This window comes from Homo sapiens, chromosome 20, assembly GCF_000001405.40.
Source record: "Homo sapiens chromosome 20, GRCh38.p14 Primary Assembly".
In the NCBI taxonomy this organism is placed as follows: Eukaryota; Metazoa; Chordata; class Mammalia; order Primates; family Hominidae; genus Homo; species Homo sapiens.
Genome location: NC_000020.11, coordinates 48497536 through 48516556, shown reverse-complemented (window position 1 = coordinate 48516556; position 19021 = coordinate 48497536). Strand labels below are relative to the sequence as shown.

Here is a 19021-nt window from a genome sequence, read left to right as displayed (position 1 = left end):
GCCGCTGCTCAGATCTGAGGGTGTTGGAGCTGGAGCCTGGGGGTGGAGCCATTGCTGCCATTGAAGTGTGAGAGTCATTGAGCTGGAAGTCCAGGAAGCAGCTGGTGCTGCTGTTCTAGTTTGAGGGTTGTGGAGTGCAGACCCAGGCAGGAGCAACATTGCTGTAGTTCGAGGGTCAGAAAGCTGGCGACCCAGGGAGGAGAGGTCTTGTTCTAGTTTGATTTTCGTGGAGCTGCAGACCCAGGCAGGAGCAATGTTGCTGTAGTTCGAGGGTCCGGTAGCTGGCAACCCGGGGAGGAGAAGTCTTGTTCGAGTTTGAGGGTCGTGGAGCTGCCGACCCAGGGAGGAGCAATTTGGTTGTAATTTGAGGGTCCAGAAGCTGGAGACCCAGGGAGGAGAGAGATCTTGTTCTGGTCTGAGGGTTGTGGAGCCACAGACCCAGGGAGGAGCAATTTTGTTGTAATTTGAGGGTCAGGAAGCTGGCGACCCAGGGAGGAGAGGTCTTGTTCTAGTTTGAGGGTCGTGGAGCTGCCGACCCAGGGAGGAGCAATTTTGTTGTAATTCGAGGATCAGGAAGCTGGCGACCCAGTGGAGGAGAGGTCTTGTTCTGGTCTGAGGGTCATGGAGCTGCAGACCCAGGGAGGAGCAATGTTGTTGTAATTCGAGGGTGTGGTAGCTGGCAACCTGGGGAGGAGAAGTCTTGTTCGAGTTTGAGGCTCGTGGAGCTGCCGACCAGGGAGGAGCAATTTTGTTGCAGTTCGAGGGTCAGGAAGCTGGCGACCCAGGGAGGAGAGGTCTTGTTCTAGTTTGAGGGTCGTGGAGCTGCAGACCCATGGAGGAGCAATTTTGTTGTAATTCGAGGGTCTGGAAGCTGGAGACCCAGGGAGGAGAGGTCTTGTTCTAGTTTGAGGGTCGTGGAGCTGCCGAACCAGGGAGGAGCAATGTTGTTGTAATTGGAGGGTCCGGAAGCTGGCGACCCAGGGAGGAGAGGTCTTGTTCTGGTGTGAAGGTCGTGGAGCTGCAGACCCAGGGAGGAGCAATTTTGTTGTAATTCAAGGGTCCGGTAGCTGGCAACCCAGGGAAGAGAAGTGTTGTTGGAGTTTGAGGGTCGTGGAGCTGCCGACCCAGGGAGGAGCAGTTTGGTTGTAATTCGAGGGTCAGGAAGCTGGCGACCCAGGGGAGGAGAGGTCTTCTTCTGGTCTGAGGGTCGTGGAGCTGCAGACCCAGGGAGGAGCAATGTTGTTGTAATTCGAGGGTCTGGTAGCTGGCAACCTGGGGAGGAGAAGTCTTGTTCGAGTTTGAGGCTGGTGGAGCTGCTGATCAGGGAGGAGCAATTTTGTTGTAGTTCGAGGGTCAGGAAGCTGGTGACCCAGGGAGGAGAGGTCTTGTTTTAGTTTGAGGGTGGTGGAGCTGCAGACCCAGGGAGGAGCAATTTGGTTGTAATTCGAGGGTCTGGAAGCTGGAGACCCAGGGAGGAGAGGTCTTGTTCTAGTTTGAGGGTCGTGGAGCTGCCGAACCAGGGAGGAGAAGTCTTGTTTTAGTTTGAGGGTCGTGGAGCTGCCGAACCAGGGAGGCGCAATTTGGTTGTAATTGGAGGGTCCGGAAGCTGGTGACCCACGGAGGAGATGTCTTGTTCTGGTCTGAGGGTCGTGGAGCTACATACCCAGGGAGGAGCAATGTTGTTGTAATTCGAGGGTGTGGTAGCTGGCAACCTGGGGAGGAGAAGTCTTGTTCGAGTTTGAGGCTCGTGGAGCTGCCGACCAGGGAGGAGCAATTTTGTTGTAGTTCGTGGGTCAGGAATCTGGCGACCCAGGGAGGAGAGGTCTTTAGTTTGAGGGTTGTGGAACTGCAGACCCAGGCAGGAGCAATGTTGTTGTAATTCAAGGGTCCGGAAGCTGGTGACCCAGGGAGGAGAGGTCTTGTTCTAGTTTGAGGGTCGTGGAGCTGCCGACCCAGGGAGGAGCAATTTGGTTGTAATTGGAGAGTCCGGAAGCTGGAGACCCAGGGAGGAGAGGTCTTGTTCTAGTTTGAGGGTCGTAGAGCTGCAGACCCAGGGAGGAGCAATTCTGTTGTAATTCGAGGGTCTGGAAGCTGGAGACCGAGGGAGGAGAGGTCTTGTTGTAGTTTGAGGGTCGTGGAGCTGCCGAACCAGGGAGGAGCAATGTTGTTTTAATTGGAGGGTCCGAAAGCTGGCGACCCAGGGAGGAGAGGCCTTGTTCTGGTGTGAGGGTCGTGGAGCTGCAGACCCAGGGAGGAGCAATTTTGTTGTAATTCAAGGGTCCGGTAGCTGGCAACCCAGGGAAGAGAAGTGTTGTTGGAGTTTGAGGGTCGTGGAGCTGCCGACCCAGGGAGGAGCAATTTGGTTGTAATTCGAGGGTCAGGAAGCTGGCGACCCAGGTGAGGAGAGGTCTTCTTCTGGTCTGAGGGTCGTGGAGCTGCAGACCCAGGGAGGAGCAATGTTGTTGTAATTCGAGGGTCTGGTAGCTGGCAACCTGGGAAGGAGAAGTCTTGTTCGAGTTTGAGGCTGCTGGAGCTGCTGATCAGGGAGGAGCAATTTTGTTGTAGTTCGAGGGTCAGGAAGCTGGTGACCCAGGGAGGAGAGGTCTTGTTTTAGTTTGAGGGTGGTGGAGCTGCAGACCCAGGGAGGAGCAATTTGGTTGTAATTCGAGGGTCTGGAAGCTGGAGACCCAGGGAGGAGAGGTCTTGTTCTGGTTTGAGGGTCATGGAGCTGCCGAACCAGGGAGGAGCAATTTGGTTGTAATTGGAGGGTCCGGAAGCTGGTGACCCAGGGAGGAGAGGTCTTGTTTTAGTTTGAGGGTTGCGGAACTGCAGACCCAGGCAGGAGCTATGTTGTTGTAATTCAAGGGTCTGGAAGCTGGCGACCCAGGGAGGAGAGGTCTTGTTCTAGTTTGAGGGTCGTGGAGCTGCCGACCCAGGGAGGAGCAATTTGGTTGTAATTCGAGGGTCAGGAAGCTGGCGACCCAGGGAGGAGAGGTCTTCTTCTGGTCTGAGGGTCATGGAGCTGCAGACCCAGGGAGGAGCAATATTGTTGTAATTCGAGGGTCTGGAAGCTGGAGACCGAGGGAGGAGAGGTCTTGTTCTAGTTTGAGGGTCGTGGAGCTGCCGAACCAGGGAGGAGCAATGTTGTTGTAATTGGAGGGTCGGAAAGCTGGCGACCCAGGGAGGAGAGGTCTTGTTCTGGTGTGAGGGTCGTGGAGCTGCAGACCCAGGGAGGAGCAATTTTGTTGTAATTCAAGGGTCCGGTAGCTGGCAAACCAGGGAAGAGAAGTGTTGTTGGAGTTTGAGGGTCATGGAGCTGCCGACCCAGGGAGGAGCAATTTGGTTGTAATTCGAGGGTCAGGAAGCTGGCGACCCAGGGGAGGAGAGGTCTTCTTCTGGTCTGAGGGTCGTGGAGCTGCAGACCCAGGGAGGAGCAATGTTGTTGTAATTCGAGGGTCTGGTAGCTGGCAACCTGGGAAGTAGAAGTCTTGTTCGAGTTTGAGGCTGGTGGAGCTGCTGATCAGGGAGGAGCAATTTTGTTGTAGTTCGAGGGTCAGGAAGCTGGTGACCCAGGAAGGAGAGGTCTTGTCTTAGTTTGAGGGTGGTGGAGCTGCAGACCCAGGGAGGAGCAATTTGGTTGTAATTCGAGGGTCTGGAAGCTGGAGACCCAGGGAGGAGAGGTCTTGTTCTAGTTTGAGGGTCGTGGAGCTGCCGAACCAGGGAGGAGCAATGCTGTTGTAATTCGAGGGTCCGGAAGCTGGCGACCGAGGGAGGAGAGGTCTTGTTCTAGTTTGAGGGTCGTGGAGCTGCCGAACCAGGGAGGCGCAATTTGGTTGTAATTGGAGGGTCCGGAAGCTGGTGACCCAGGGAGGAGATGTCTTGTTCTGGTCTGAGTGTCGTGGAGCTACATACCCAGGGAGGAGCAATGTTGTTGTAATTCGAGGGTGTGGTAGCTGGCAACCTGGGGAGGAGAAGTCTTGTTCGAGTTTGAGGCTCGTGGAGCTGCCGACCAGGGAGGAGCAATTTTGTTGTAGTTTGTGGGTCAGGAATCTGGCGACCCAGGGAGGAGAGGTCTTGCTTTAGTTTGAGGGTTGTGGAACTGCAGACCCAGGCAGGAGCAATGTTGTTGTAATTCAAGGGTCCGGAAGCTGGTGACCCAGGGAGGAGAGGTCTTGTTCTAGTTTGAGGGTCGTGGAGCTGCCGACCCAGGGAGGAGCAATTTGGTTGTAATTGGAGGGTCCGGAAGCTGGAGACCCAGGGAGGAGAGGTCTTGTTCTAGTTTTAGGGTCGTAGAGCTGAAGACCCAGGGAGGAGCAATTCTGTTGTAATTCGAGGGTCTGGAAGCTGGAGACCCAGGGAGGAGAGGTCTTGTTGTAGTTTGAGGGTCGTGGAGCTGCCGAACCAGGGAGGAGCAATGTTGTTGTAATTGGAGGGTCCGAAAGCTGGCGACCCAGGGAGGAGAGGTCTTGTTCTGGTGTGAGGGTCGTGGAGCTGCAGACCCAGGGAGGAGCAATTTTGTTGTAATTCAAGGGTCCGGTAGCTGGCAACCCAGGGAAGAGAAGTGTTCTTGGAGTTTGAGGGTCGTGGAGCTGCCGACCCAGGGAGGAGCAATTTGGTTCTAATTCGAGGGTCAGGAAGCTGGCGACCCAGGTGAGGAGAGGTCTTCTTCTGGTATGAGGGTCGTGGAGCTGCAGACCCAGGGAGGAGCAATTTTGTTGTAATTCAAGGGTCCGGTAGCTGGCAACCCGGGTAGGAGAAGTCTTGTTCGAGTTTGAGGGTCGTGGATCTGCCGACCCAGGGAGGAGCAGTTTGGTTGTAATTTGAGGGTCCGGAAGCTGGAGACCCAGGGAGGAGAGAGGTCTTGTTCTCGTCTGAGGGTCGTGGAGCTGCAGACCCAGGGAGGAGCAATTTGGTTGTAATTCGAGGGTCAGGAAGCTGGCGACCCAGGGAGGAGAGGTCTTGTTCTGGTCTGAGGGTCATGGAGCTACATACCCAGGGAGGAGCAATGTTGTTGTAATTCGAGGGTGTGGTAGCTGGCAACCTGGGGAGGAGAAGTCTTCTTCGAGTTTGAGGCTCGTGGAGTTGCCGACCAGGGACGAGCAATTTTGTTGTAGTTCGTGGGTCAGGAATCTGGCGACCCAGGGAGGAGAGGTCTTGTTTTAGTTTGAGGGTTGTGGAACTGCAGACCCAGGCAGGAGCAATGTTGTTGTAATTCAAGGGTCCGGAAGCTGGAGACCCCGGGAGGAGAGGTCTTGTTCTAATTTGAGGGTCGTAGAGCTGCGGAACCAGGGAGGAGCAATGTTGTTGTAATTGGAGGGTCCGAAAGCTGGCGACCCAGGGAGGAGAGGTCTTGTTCTGGTGTGAGGGTCGTGGAGCTGCAGACCCAGGGAGGAGCAATTTTGTTGTAATTCAAGGGTCCAGTAGCTGGCAACCCAGGGAAGAGAAGTGTTGTTGGAGTTTGAGGGTCGTGGAGCTGCCGACCCAGGGAGGAGCAATTTGGTTGTAATTCGAGGGTCAGGAAGCTGGCGACCCAGGGGAGGAGAGGTCTTCTTCTGGTCTGAGGGTCGTGGAGCTGCAGACCCAGGGAGGAGCAATGTTGTTGTAATTCGAGGGTCTGGTAGCTGGCAACCTGGGGAGGAGAAGTCTTGTTCGAGTTTTAGGCTGGTGGAGCTGCTGATCAGGGAGGAGCAATTTTGTTGTAGTTCGAGGGTCAGGAAGCTGGTGACCCAGGGAGGAGAGGTCTTGTTTTAGTTTGAGGTTGTTGGAGGTGCAGACCCAGGGAGGAGCAATATTGTTGTAATTCGAGGGTCTGGAAGCTGGAGACCCAGGGAGGAGAGGTCTTGTTCTAGTTTGAGGGTCGTGGAGCTGCCGAACCAGGGAGGAGCAATGCTGTTGTAATTGGAGGGTCCGGAAGCTGGCGACCCAGGGAGGAGAGGTCTTGTTCTAGTTTGAGGGTCGTGGAGCTGCCGAACCAGAGAGGCGCAATTTGGTTGTAATTGGAGGGTCCGGAAGCTGGTGACCCAGGGAGGAGATGTCTTGTTCTGGTCTGAGGGTCGTGGAGCTACATATCCAGGGAGGAGCAATGTTGTTGTAATTCGAGGGTGTGGTAGCTGGCAACCTGGGGAGGAGAAGTCTTGTTCGAGTTTGTGGCTCGTGGAGCTGCCGACCAGGGAGGAGCAATTTTGTTGTAGTTCGTGGGTCAGGAATCTGGCGACCCAGGGAGGAGAGGTCTTGTTTTAGTTTGAGGGTTGTGGAACTGCAGACCCAGGCAGGAGCAATGTTGTTGTAATTCAAGGGTCCGGAAGCTGGTGACCCAGGGAGGAGAGGTCTTGTTCTAGTTTGAGGGTCGTGGAGCTGCCGACCCAGGGAGGAGCAATTTGGTTGTAATTGGAGAGTCCGGAAGCTGGAGACCCAGGGAGGAGAGGTCTTGTTCTAGTTTGAGGGTCGTAGAGCTGCAGACCCAGGGAGGAGCAATTCTGTTGTAATTCGAGGGTCTGGAAGCTGGAGACCGAGGGAGGAGAGGTCTTGTTGTAGTTTGAGGGTCGTGGAGCTGCCGAACCAGGGAGGAGCAATGTTGTTGTAATTGGAGGGTCCGAAAGCTGGCGACCCAGGGAGGAGAGGTCTTGTTCTGGTGTGAGGGTCGTGGAGCTGCAGACCCAGGGAGGAGCAATTTTGTTGTAATTCAAGGGTCCGGTAGCTGGCAACCCAGGGAAGAGAAGTGTTGTTGGAGTTTGAGGGTCGTGGAGCTGCCGACCCAGGGAGGAGCAATTTGGTTGTAATTCGAGGGTCAGGAAGCTGGCGACCCAGGTGAGGAGAGGTCTTCTTCTGGTCTGAGGGTCGTGGAGCTGCAGACCCAGGGAGGAGCAATGTTGTTGTAATTCGAGGGTCTGGTAGCTGGCAACCTGGGGAGGAGAAGTCTTGTTCGAGTTTGAGGCTGGTGGAGCTGCTGATCAGGGAGGAGCAATTTTTTTGTAGTTCGAGGGTCAGGAAGCTGGTGACCCAGGGAGGAGAGGTCTTGTTTTAGTTTGAGGGTGGTGGAGCTGCAGACCCAGGGAGGAGCAATTTGGTTGTAATTCGAGGGTCTGGAAGCTGGAGACCCAGGGAGGAGAGGTCTTGTTCTGGTTTGAGGGTCATGGAGCTGCCGAACCAGGGAGGAGCAATTTGGTTGTAATTGGAGGGTCCGGAAGCTGGTGACCCAGGGAGGAGAGGTCTTGTTTTAGTTTGAGGGTTGCGGAACTGCAGACCCAGGCAGGAGCTATGTTGTTGTAATTCAAGGGTCCGGAAGCTGGCGACCCAGGGAGGAGAGGTCTTGTTCTAGTTTGAGGGTCGTAGAGCTGCCGACCCATGGAGGAGCAATTTGGTTGTAATTCGAGGGTCAGGAAGCTGGCGACGCAGGGAGGAGAGGTCTTGTTCTGGTATGAGGGTCGTGGAGCTGCAGACCCAGGGAGGAGCAATTTTGTTGTAATTCAAGGGTCCGGTAGCTGGCAACCCGGGTAGGAGAAGTCTTGTTCGAGTTTGAGGGTCGTGGAGCTGCCGAACCAGGGAGGCGCAATTTGGTTGTAATTGGAGGGTCCGGAAGCTGGTGACCCAGGGAGGAGATGTCTTCTTCTGGTCTGATGGTCGTGGAGCTACATACCCAGGGAGGAGCAATGTTGTTGTAATTCGAGGGTGTGGTAGCTGGCAACCTGGGGAGGAGAAGTCTTGTTGGAGTCTGAGGCTCGTGGAGCTGCCGACCAGGGAGGAGCAATTTTGTTGTAGTTCGTGGGTCAGGAATCTGGCGACCCAGGGAGGAGAGGTCTTGTTTTAGTTTGAGGGTTGTGGAACTGCAGACCCAGGCAGGAGCAATGTTGTTGTAATTCAAAGGTCCGGAAGCTGGAGACACAGGGAGGAGAGGTCTTGTTCTAGTTTGAGGGTCGTAGAGCTGCAGACCCAGGGAGGAGCAATTCTGTTGTAATCCGAGGGTCTGGAAGCTGGAGACCCAGGGAGGAGAGGTCTTGTTGTAGTTTGAGGGTCGTGGAGCTGCCGAACCAGGGAGGAGCAATGTTGTTGTAATTGGAGGGTCCGAAATCTGGCGACCCAGGGAGGAGAGGTCTTGTTCTGGTGTGAGGGTCATGGAGCTGCAGACCCAGGGAGGAGCAATTTTGTTGTAATTCAAGGGTCCGGTAGCTGGCAACCCAGGGAAGAGAAGTGTTGTTGGAGTTTGAGGGTCGTGGAGCTGCCGACCCAGAGAGGAGCAATTTGGTTGTAATTCGAGGGTCAGGAAGCTGGCGACCAAGGGGAGGAGAGGTCTTCTTCTGGTCTGAGGGTCGTGGAGCTGCAGACCCAGGGAGGAGCAATGTTGTTGTAATTCGAGGGTCTGGTAGCTGGCAACCTGGGGAGGAGAAGTCTTGTTCGAGTTTGAGGCTGGTGGAGCTGCTGATCAGGGAGGAGCAATTTTGTTGTAGTTCGAGGGTCAGGAAGCTGGTGACCCAGGAAGGAGAGGTCTTGTTTTAGTTTGAGGGTGGTGGAGCTGCAGACCCAGGGAGGAGCAATTTGGTTGTAATTCGAGGGTCTGGAAGCTGGAGACCCAGGGAGGAGAGGTCTTGTTCTAGTTTGAGGGTCGTGGAGCTGCCGAACCAGGGAGGAGCAATGCTGTTGTAATTCGAGGGTCCGGAAGCTGGCGACCCAGGGAGGAGAGGTCTTGTTCTGGTGTGAGGGTCGTGGAGCTGCAGACCCAGGGAGGAGCAATTTTGTTGTAATTCAAGGGTCCGGTAGCTGGCAACCCAGGGAAGAGAAGTGTTGTTGGAGTTTGAGGGTCGTGGAGCTGCCGACCCAGGGAGGAGCAATTTGGTTGTAATTTGAGGGTCCGGAAGCTGGAGACCCAGGGAGGAGAGAGGTCTTGTTCTCGTCTGAGGGTCGTGGAGCTGCCGACCCAGGGAGGAGCAATTTGGTTGTAATTCGAGGGTCAGGAAGCTGGCGACCCAGGGAGGAGAGGTCTTGTTCTGGTCTGAGGGTCGTGGAGCTACATACCCAGGGAGGAGCAATGTTGTTGTAATTCGAGGGTGTGGTAGCTGGCAACCTGGGGAGGAGAAGTCTTCTTCGAGTTTGAGGCTCGTGGAGCTGCCGACCAGGGACGAGCAATTTTGTTGTAGTTCGTGGGTCAGGAATCTGGCGACCCAGGGAGGAGAGGTCTTGTTTTAGTTTGAGGGTTGTGGAACTGCAGACCCAGGCAGGAGCAATGTTGTTGTAATTCAAGGGTCCGGAAGCTGGAGACCCCGGGAGGAGAGGTCTTGTTCTAGTTTGAGGGTCGTAGAGCTGCAGACCCAGGGAGGAGCAATTCTGTTGTAATTCGAGGGTCTGGAAGCTGGAGACCCAGGGAGGAGAGGTCTTGTTGTAGTTTGAGGGTCGTGGAGCTGCCGAACCAGGGAGGAGCAATTTGGTTCTAATTCGAGGGTCAGGAAGCTGGCGACCCAGGGGAGGAGAGGTCTTGTTCTGGTATGAGGGTCGTGGAGCTGCAGACCCAGGGAGGAGCAATTTTGTTGTAATTCAAGGGTCCGGTAGCTGGCAACCCGGGTAGGAGAAGTCTTGTTCGAGTTTGAGGGTCGTGAAGCTGCCGACCCAGGGAGGAGCAATTTGGTTGTAATTTGAGGGTCCGGAAGCTGGAGACCCAGGGAGGAGAGAGGTCTTGTTCTGGTCTGAGGGTCGTGGAGCTGCAGACCCAGGGAGGAGCAATTTGGTTGTAATTCGAGGGTCAGGAAGCTGGCGACCCAGGGAGGAGAGGTCTTGTTCTGGTCTGAGGGTCGTGGAGCTGCAGACCCAGGGAGGAGCAATTTTGTTGTAATTCAAGGGTCCAGTAGCTGGCAACCCAGGGAAGAGAAGTGTTGTTGGAGTTTGAGGGTCGTGGAGCTGCCGACCCAGGGAGGAGCAATTTGGTTGTAATTCGAGGGTCAGGAAGCTGGCGACCCAGGGGAGGAGAGGTCTTCTTCTGGTCTGAGGGTCGTGGAGCTGCAGACCCACTGAGGAGCAATGTTGTTGTAATTCGAGGGTCTGGTAGCTGGCAACCTCGGGAGGAGAAGTCTTGTTCGAGTTTGAGGCTGCTGGAGCTGCTGATCAGGGAGGAGCAATTTGGTTGTAATTCGAGGGACAGGAAGCTGGCGACCCAGGGGAGGAGAGGTCTTGTTCTGGTATGAGGGTCGTGGAGCTGCAGACCCAGGGAGGAGCAATGTTGTTGTAATTCGAGGGTCTGGTAGCTGGCAACCTGGGAAGGAGAAGTCTTGTTCGAGTTTGAGGCTGGTGGAGCTGCTGATCAGGGAGGAGCAATTTTGTTGTAGTTCGAGGGTCAGGAAGCTGGTGACCCAGGGAGGAGAGGTCTTGTTTTAGTTTGAGGGTGGTGGAGCTGCAGACCCAGGGAGGAGGAATTTGGTTGTAATTCGAGGGTCTGGAAGCTGGAGACCCAGGGAGGAGAGGTCTTGTTCTGGTTTGAGGGTCATGGAGCTGCCGAACCAGGGAGGAGCAATTTGGTTGTAATTGGAGGGTCCGGAAGCTGGTGTCCCAGGGAGGAGAGGTCTTGTTTTAGTTTGAGGGTTGCGGAACTGCAGACCCAGGCAGGAGCTATGTTGTTGTAATTCAAGGGTCCGGAAGCTGGCGACCCAGGGAGGAGAGGTCTTGTTCTAGTTTGAGGGTCGTAGAGCTGCCGACCCAGGGAGGAGCAATTTGGTTGTAATTCGAGGGTCAGGAAGCTGGCGACGCAGGGAGGAGAGGTCTTGTTCTGGTATGAGGGTCGTGGAGCTGCAGACCCAGGGAGGAGCAATTTTGTTGTAATTCAAGGGTCCGGTAGCTGGCAACCCGGGTAGGAGAAGTCTTGTTCGAGTTTGAGGGTCGTGGAGCTGCCGACCCAGGGAGGAGCAATTTGGTTGTAATTCGAGGGTCAGGAAGCTGGCGACCCAGGGAGGAGAGGTCTTCTTCTGGTCTGAGGGTCATGGAGCTGCAGACCCAGGGAGGAGCAATATTGTTGTAATTCGAGGGTCTGGTAGCTGGCAACCTGGGAAGGAGAAGTCTTGTTCGAGTTTGAGGCTGGTGGAGCTGCTGATCAGGGAGGAGCAATTTTGTTGTAGTTCGAGGGTCAGGAAGCTGGTGACCCAGGGAGGAGAGGTCTTCTTTTAGTTTGAGGGTGGTGGAGCTGCAGACCCAGGGAGGAGCAATTTGGTTGTAATTCGAGGGTCTGGAAGCTGGAGACCCAGGGAGGAGAGGTCTTGTTCTAGTTTGAGGGTCGTGGAGCTGCCGAACTAGGGAGGAGCAATGCTGTTGTAATTCGAGGGTCCGGAAGCTGGCTACCCAGGGAGGAGAGGTCTTGTTCTAGTTTGAGGGTCGTGGAGCTGCCGAACCAGGGAGGCGCAATTTGGTTGTAATTGGGGGGTCCGGAAGCTGGTGACCAAGGGAAGAGATGTCTTCTTCTGGTCTGAGGGTCGTGGAGCTACATACCCAGGGAGGAGCAATGTTGTTGTAATTCGAGGGTGTGGTAGCTGGCAACCTGGGGAGGAGAAGTCTTGTTCGAGTTTGAGGCTCGTGGAGGTGCCGACCAGGGAGGAGCAATTTTGTTGTAATTCGTGCGTCAGGAATCTGGCGACCCAGGGAGGAGAGGTCTTGTTTTAGTTTGAGGGTTGTGGAACTGCAGACCCAGGCAGGAGCAATGTTGTTGTAATTCTGGGGTCCGGAAGCTGGTGACCCAGGGAGGAGAGGTCTTGTTCTAGTTTGAGGGTCGTAGAGCTGCAGACCCAGGGAGGAGCAATTCTGTTGTAATTCGAGGGTCTGGAAGCTGGAGACCCAGGGAGGAGAGGTCTTGTTGTAGTTTGAGGGTCGTGGAGCTGCCGAACCAGAGAGGAGCAATGTTGTTGTAATTGGAGGGTCCGAAAGCTGGCGACCCAGGGAGGAGAGGTCTTGTTCTGGTGTGAGGGTCGTGGAGCTGCAGACCCAGGGAGGAGCAATTTTGTTGTAATTCAAGGGTCCGGTAGCTGGCAACCCAGGGAAGAGAAGTGTTGTTGGAGTTTGAGGGTCGTGGAGCTGCCGACCCAGGGAGGAGCAATTTGGTTGTAATTCGAGGGTCAGGAAGCTGGCGACCCAGGGGAGGAGAGGTCTTCTTCTGGTCTGAGGGTCGTGGAGCTGCAGACCCAGGGAGGAGCAATGTTGTTGTAATTCGAGGGTCTGGTAGCTGGCAACCTGGGAAGGAGAAGTCTTGTTCGAGTTTGAGGCTGTTGGAGCTGCTGATCAGGGAGGAGCAATTTTGTTGTAGTTCGAGGGTCAGGAAGCTGGTGACCCAGGGAGGAGAGGTCTTGTTTTAGTTTGAGGGTGGTGGAGCTGCAGACCCAGGGAGGAGCAATTTGGTTGTCATTCGAGGGTCTGGAAGCTGGAGACCCAGGGAGGAGAGGTCTTGTTCTAGTTTGAGGGTTGTGGAGCTGCCGAACCAGGGAGGAGCAATTTGGTTGTAATTGGTGGGTCCGGAAACTGGCGACCCAGGGAGGAGAGGTCTTGTTCTAGTTTGAAGATCGTGGAGCTGCCGGACCAGGGAGGAGCAATTTTGTTGTAATTCAAGGGTCCGGTAGCAGGCAACCCGGGGAGGAGAAGTCTTGTTCGAGTTTGAGGGTCGTGGAGCTGTCGACCCAGGGAGGAGCAATTTGGTTGTAATTCGAGGGTCAGGAAGCTGGCGACCCAGGGGAGGCGAGGTCTTGTTCTGGTCTGAGGGTCGTGGAGCTGCAGACCCACGGAGGAGCAATTTTGGTATAATTCAAGGTTCCGGTAACTGGCAACCGGGGGAAGAGAAGTCTTGTTCGAATTTCAGGGTCGTGGAGCTTCCGAACCAGGGAGGAGCCATTTGGTTGTAGTTTGAGGGTGAGGAAGCTGGCGACCCAGGGAGGAGAGGTCTTGTTTTCGTTTGAGGGTCATGGAGCTGCAGACCCAGGCAGGAGCACTGTTGTTTTAGTTTGAGTGTCAGAAGGCTGGCGACCCAGGGAGGAGAAGTCTTGTTCTAGTTTGATGTTCATGGAGCTGCAGACCCAGGCAGGAGCAATGTTGCTGTAGTTCGTGGGTTAGGAAGCTGGTGACTCAGGGTGGAGAAGTCTTGTTCTAGTTTCAGGGTCGTGGAGCTGCAGACCCAGGCAGGAGCATTGTTGTTTTAGTTCGAGGGTCACGAAGCTGGTGACCCAGGGAGGAGAGATCTTGTTTTAATTTGAGGGTTGTGGAGATGCAGACCCAGGCAGGAGCAATGTTGTTGTAATTCAAGGGTCCGGAAGCTGGAGACTCAGGGAGGAGAGGTCTTGTTCTGGTCTGAGGGTCCTGGAGCTACAGACCCAGGGAGGAGCAATGTTGTTGTAATTTGAGGGTTCGGTAGCTGGCACCCTGGGGAGGAGAAGTCTTGTTCTAGTTTGAGGGTGGTGGAGCTGCAGAGCCAGGGAGGAGCAGTGTTGTTGTAGTTTGAGGGTCATGGAGGTACAGACCCAGGGAGGAGCCGTGTTGTTTTGAGTGTCGTGGAGCCGGAGATCCACGGAGGAGCTGGTGCTGCCTTTCCAGTCTGAGAGTCATTTAGCTGGAGATCCAGGGAGGAACCGGTTTTGCTGTACTAGTCTGAGGGTAGTGAATCTTGAGCCGGAAGGAGGAGTGGGTGCTGCTGTTCATGCCTGAGTGTTATGGAACTGGAGAACCAGAAAGGAGCTGGTGCTGCTGTTTTAGTTTGAGGGTAGTGGCGCTGGAGATCCTGGGAAGAGCCGGTGCCATCGTTTACATCTGTGGGTTCTGCAGCTGGAGCCCTAGGCAGGAGCTGGTGTTGTTGTTGTTCAAATCCGAGGTCATGGGGCTTGAGGTACAGGAAGGAGCTGCTGCTGGTGTTCAAGTCTGAGGGTCGTGTAGCTGGAGAGAGGGGCAGAGGTAGTCTTGGTGTCTAGTGTGATGGTGGTGGAGCTGGAGACCTGTGGAGGAGCCAGTGCTGCTGTGTAATTTGAGGATCATGGAACTGGAGATCTAGGGAGGAACCAGTGCTACCGCCATTTAAGTCAGAAGGTTGTGGATCTGGAGTTTTGGGGAACAGCCCATGCTGCTGTTTAACTGTGGGGAGGATCCTGTGTGTCAGTTGAAGTTTGAGGGTTTGGGAGCTGGAGAGCCAGGGAGGAGCTGATGCTGCTGTTCTAGTTTGAGGGGAGTGGAGCTGGAGATCCTGGGAAGAGCCGGTGCTGTCATTTAAATCTATAGGTCCCGAAGCTGGAACCCTGGTGGGGAGCCAGTTCTGCCATTCGTGTCTTAAGGTCGTGGAGCTGGAAACCCAGGGAGGCAGCGGTGCTGCTGTTCTAGTTTAAGGATCATGAAGCTGGAGACCTGGTCAGGAGGTCGTGCTACGGTTGTTCAAATCTGAGGGTGGTGGAGCTGGAGCCTTGGGGAGTTGCCGGTGCTGCCTCTCAAGTCTGAGAGTTGTTGAGCTGGAGATTCAGGGAGGAGCCTGTGTTGCTGTTGTAGTTTGAGGGTCATGGAACTGGAGACCTGGGGAGGAGCTGGTGCTACCGCCATTTAAGTCAGAGGGATCTGGAGTTTTGGGGAACAGCCCATGCTGCTGTTTAACTGTGGGGAGGATCTGCTGTGTCAGTTGAAGTTTGAGGGTTTGGGAGCTGGAGACCCAGGGAGGAGCTGGTGATGCCATTCTATTTTGAGGGTCGTGGATCTGGAGACCTGGGTAGAGGCTGGTACTGCTGTTGTAGTTTGAGGGTCATGGAACGGGAGACAGGGGGAGGAGCCGGTGCTGCTGTTCATGTCTGAGGGTTGTAGAGCTGGAGACCCAGGGAGAAGCCCGTACTACGGCTTTTTAAGTCTGAGGGTCGTGGAGCCTGAGACCTGGGGAGGGGCCAGTGCTGCTGTTCAAATGACTCCTTCCCGGGTCTCCAGCTCCATGACCCTCACACTAGAACAGCAGCAGCAGCTCCTCCCGGGGTCTTCCAGCTCCATGACCCTCAAACTAGAACAGCAGCACCGGCTCCACCCTGGGTCTCCAGATCCACGACCCTCAAACTAGAACAGCAGCACTGACTCCTCCCTGCGTCTCCAGCTCTACAACACTCAGACTTGAGGAGCTGGAGAGGCAGGGAGGAGCCAGGGCTGCTTTTCTACTTTGAGGGTTGTGGAGCTGGAGACCCAAGATGCAGCAGCTGCTGCTATTCTAGTTTGAGGGCCTTGGAGCCAGAAACTTTGTGAGGAGCCGGTGCTGCCTTTCAAATCTGAGAGTCGTTGAGCTGGAGACCCAGGGAGGAACCGGTGTTGCTGTTCCAGCCTGACAGTAGTGAAGCTGGAGACCCAAAGAGGAGCCGGTGCTGCTATTCTAGTTTGAGGTTAGTGGAGCTGGAGATCACAGGAAGAGCCGGTGCTGCTGTTTAAATCTGTAGGTCCCCGAGCTGGAGCCCTGGGGGGAGATGGTGTTGTTCTTGTTCAAGTCTGAGGGTCGTGGGGCTTGAGGTACAGAGAGGAGCTGCTGCTGTTCAAGACTGAGGGTCGTGTAGCTGGAGAGCAGGGAGGAGGTAGTCTTGGTGTCTAGTATGAGGGTGGTGGAGCTGTGGACCTGGGGAGGAGCCGGTGCTGCTGTGTAGTTTGAGGGTTGTGGAACTGGAGACCTGGGGAGGAGCCGGTGCTACCGCCATTTAAGTCAGAGGATCATGGATCTGGAGCTTTTGGGAACAGCCTGTGCTGCTGTTTAACTGTGGGGAGGATCCGGTGTGTCAATTGAAGTTTGAGGGTTTGGGAGCTGGAGACCCAGGAGGGATCCGATGATGCCATTCTATTTTGAGGGTCATGGATGTGGAGACCTGGGGAGAGGCCGGTACTGCTGTTGTAGTTTGAGGGTCGTGGAAGTGGAGACAAGGGTAGGAGCCGGTGGTGCTGCTGTTTATGTCTGAGGATTGTAGAGCTGGAGACCCAGGGAGGAACCAGTGTTGCTGTTCTAGTCTGAGGGTAGTGAAGCTGGAGACCCAGGGAGGAGCCGGTGCTATTGTTCATGTCTGAGGATTGTGTAGCTGGAGACCCAGGGAGGAGCCGGTGCTGCTGATCTAGTTTGAAGGCTGTGGAGCTGCAGATCCCAGGAAGAGCCGGTGCTGCCGTTCAAATCTGTGGGTCTTGGAGTTGGAGCCCTGGGGTGACCCAGTTCTTTCATTCATGTCTTAGGGTCATGGAGCTGGAAACCCAGGGAGGCGGCAGTGCTGCTGTTCTAGTTTAAGGATCATGAAGCTGGAGACCTGGACAGGAGCTGGTGCTACCGCTGTTCAAATCTGAGGGTCATGGAGCTGGAGCCTTGGGGAAGGTGTCGGTGCTACCTCTCAAGTCTGAGGGTTGTTGCGCTGGAGATTCAGGGAGGAGCCGGTGTTGCTGTTGTTGTTGGAGGATTGTGGAGCTGGAGGCCGAAGAGGAGCTGGTGTTGCAGTTCAAGTTTGACGGTCGTGTAGCTGGAGACCTAGGGAGGAGCTGGTGCTACCACTGTGTAAGTTGAGGGTTGTGGAGCTGGTGGCTCGGGGAAGAGCCAGTGCTATAGTTGAATTTTGAGGGAGCTGGAGACCCAGGGGGTAGCCGGTGCTGCTGTTCTAGTTTGAAGGTTGTGGAGCTGGAGGCTTGGTGGGGAGCCGGTGCCGCCTCCCAAGTCTGAGAGTCATTGAGCTGGAGATCCACAGGGGAGCTGGTGCTGCTGTTGTAGTTTGAGGATTGTGGAGCTGGAGACCCGGGGCGGAGCTGGTGCTGCAGTTGGAGTTTGAGGGTCAGGGAGCTGGAGATCTGGGGAGGGGCCAGTACTGCTGTTTAAGCCTGAGGGTCGTGGAGCTAAACATGGAGCCAAAGTTGGGGAAGTAGAGAGAGTTACAGGATGACCCTGGAAATGGTAGATGTAGCTGTACCCCAAGCAAGCTAAACTTGGGAACTTCTCAATGCTAGTGATGAGTGCATTCTTTTTCCTCTTACACAGTTTGGATTTGTTTTCTGTGTCTCATGAGACAGAAAGATCTTGATTAATACCCTTAGGAATTGAAAAGCTTAAAAAAACGAAAGGATGTTGGTAATAAAAATAATAAGAATTAAACTATGATTATCCTGGCTGACAGAGACAAAATCACACACATACAATATATATCTTTCCATCAGTTAGTAAAACAAAAAATAAATGGAAAAATAGACCCAAGGAAAGCTATAAAAAGTTGTTCCATGGAGAAGTGATGGAGGAGAGATTAATCTGAGAGTTGCTATTAATGGAGAAACTGAGAACTTACCATTTTTCCCATGAGGTTTTGGTGTAGAATGATATTGTGTGAGTTCTGGCAGCTGAGTCACTTCACACAGCCCGGTGATGCAGTAGGTGTCACAGAAGGACCCTCTCCCAGTTGGTCCTGCCTCTCTGCTACGATGAGTGTGGCCTCTGATCCCCAACAGCTGACTGTGTCTTGAGACCACGCCCATGAGCACAAGGGTTTCCACGGTGAAGGTTCCTGGATGGAACACTGTGGATGTTCCTAATGTTCCTTCCTGATGTTCATCTGCCATCTTGCTATTTAATGTAATGTCTTCTAAATATTGAATAGAAAAAAGTATTTGTACAATATGGGCAAGGTATAAATAATAGCCACACACTGGACACACAGACAGGGAGGGGCACCCACAGCAAACTCCCTTTGCCTGGGAGCAGGTGTGGTCCTTGAGTCCTATGTTGCCTGTTTCTTCCTCCGCCTTGGCCTACAGGCCCCATGTGATCTGACCTCTGCCTGCCTCTCCGACTCCATCCCCCCTCCCGCTCCTGTTCTTTCTAACAATTATGTTACAGCCTCAGTGAATGTGACAAGGACCCTGAATCACGGTGGCTTTACTAAGACAGAGGTTCATTCCTTTCACATGAAAGTTCAAGCCAGTCAGGTGATTCTTCTCTGTGCATTTTTCAGGGTCTTAGGGTACTTCCATCTTGCTGCTTTGACTTCCTTAGGGTGTAGCTTCCCCCACAGTGTCCATCCTATCTACTGCCAGCCAGCAGGGAGGGGAGAAGAGAACAAGAGGACACAAATCTTCCTTCCTCTAATGGCAGTTGCTGTGCACTGGCCTCATGTGCATTGGCCACTGCCTGGTCACGTGGCCACTGCTTGCTGCAAGGGATGCTGGGAAGTTTTCATCCTGGATGTCAGTGCCCACCTGGGTGACTCCTGAGGTTGAGGGGAGAGAGGACATGAAAGAGAGTCACTGGCTCTTCCCACCGTCATGCACGTTGCTCCAGTCTAGGGCAATCCACTGTCTCAGCTTGCTCAGGACTGAGGGGGGTCGTGGGGCACAGACCTCTCAGTTTTATAACAGGGGCAGTTCCAGGCAAATCATCCCAGCTTGGCTGAGACTCAGAAGTTTTCTAGGACATGGGATTTCTAGTGTTAAAACTGGGAAAGTTCTGGGCAAACCTGTATGAGTTGGTGCCTGCCATGGGGCCTTTGCATCTACTGTTACCCCTGTCTGGGATTCCCTTTCTGCAGCTCTCTGTGGTGCTCACTCCTTTTCTGTTGAGGAAAGGCTGCTCTCTGGGTGTCCCCAGGTGCCTGGGCCGCTGTACTCAGCACTACATGCTCTGTGAATATCCCTCCATGCACTTCGTAGAATGAGATCTGTTCTTTCCACCCTGCCCTGCCCACTTCAGTTTCAAAGTCTCTGATGATTATTAATTTTTATTCTCTTCAGCACTGAAAGATACATCTCTTTCCCTAAGGCTGTGGCTGGGTTCACGCATAGTTAGATAAATCTGATATTAATAATAACCTGAATGAAAAACATGTATTAAATCCCAAGATTATGTTGTAGGAAGCAGGGATTCTGAAGAGATGTCTAAGCCTAATAAAGGCCAAAGGGTGTGGATTAAAAGGAAATGTGGGGTGGAGAAACATTTCATGAAATAGAACCCCACCTCTTGGGTGAGTTCGTTGGTACAACTTTTCTAGAGGGCAATTTTGCAACTGGCCAATGAAAGTGCGTAACTTTTGGTCCCAAATTTCATTTATAGGCATTGATC

At 54.2% G+C, this 19021-nt stretch overlaps 1 long non-coding RNA gene across 1 annotated transcript; it reads right to left on the bottom strand.

Annotated features, from left to right (window-relative positions):
• Positions 1-16583: 16583 nt before the first annotated feature.
• Positions 16584-18492, bottom strand: LOC105372647 (uncharacterized). The gene is made up of 2 exons (XR_001754658.2): positions 17256-18492; positions 16584-16812 (listed from the first exon to the last, which is right to left on the bottom strand). It is a non-coding gene; the product is annotated as an uncharacterized LOC105372647 (long non-coding RNA).
• Positions 18493-19021: the final 529 nt, after the last annotated feature.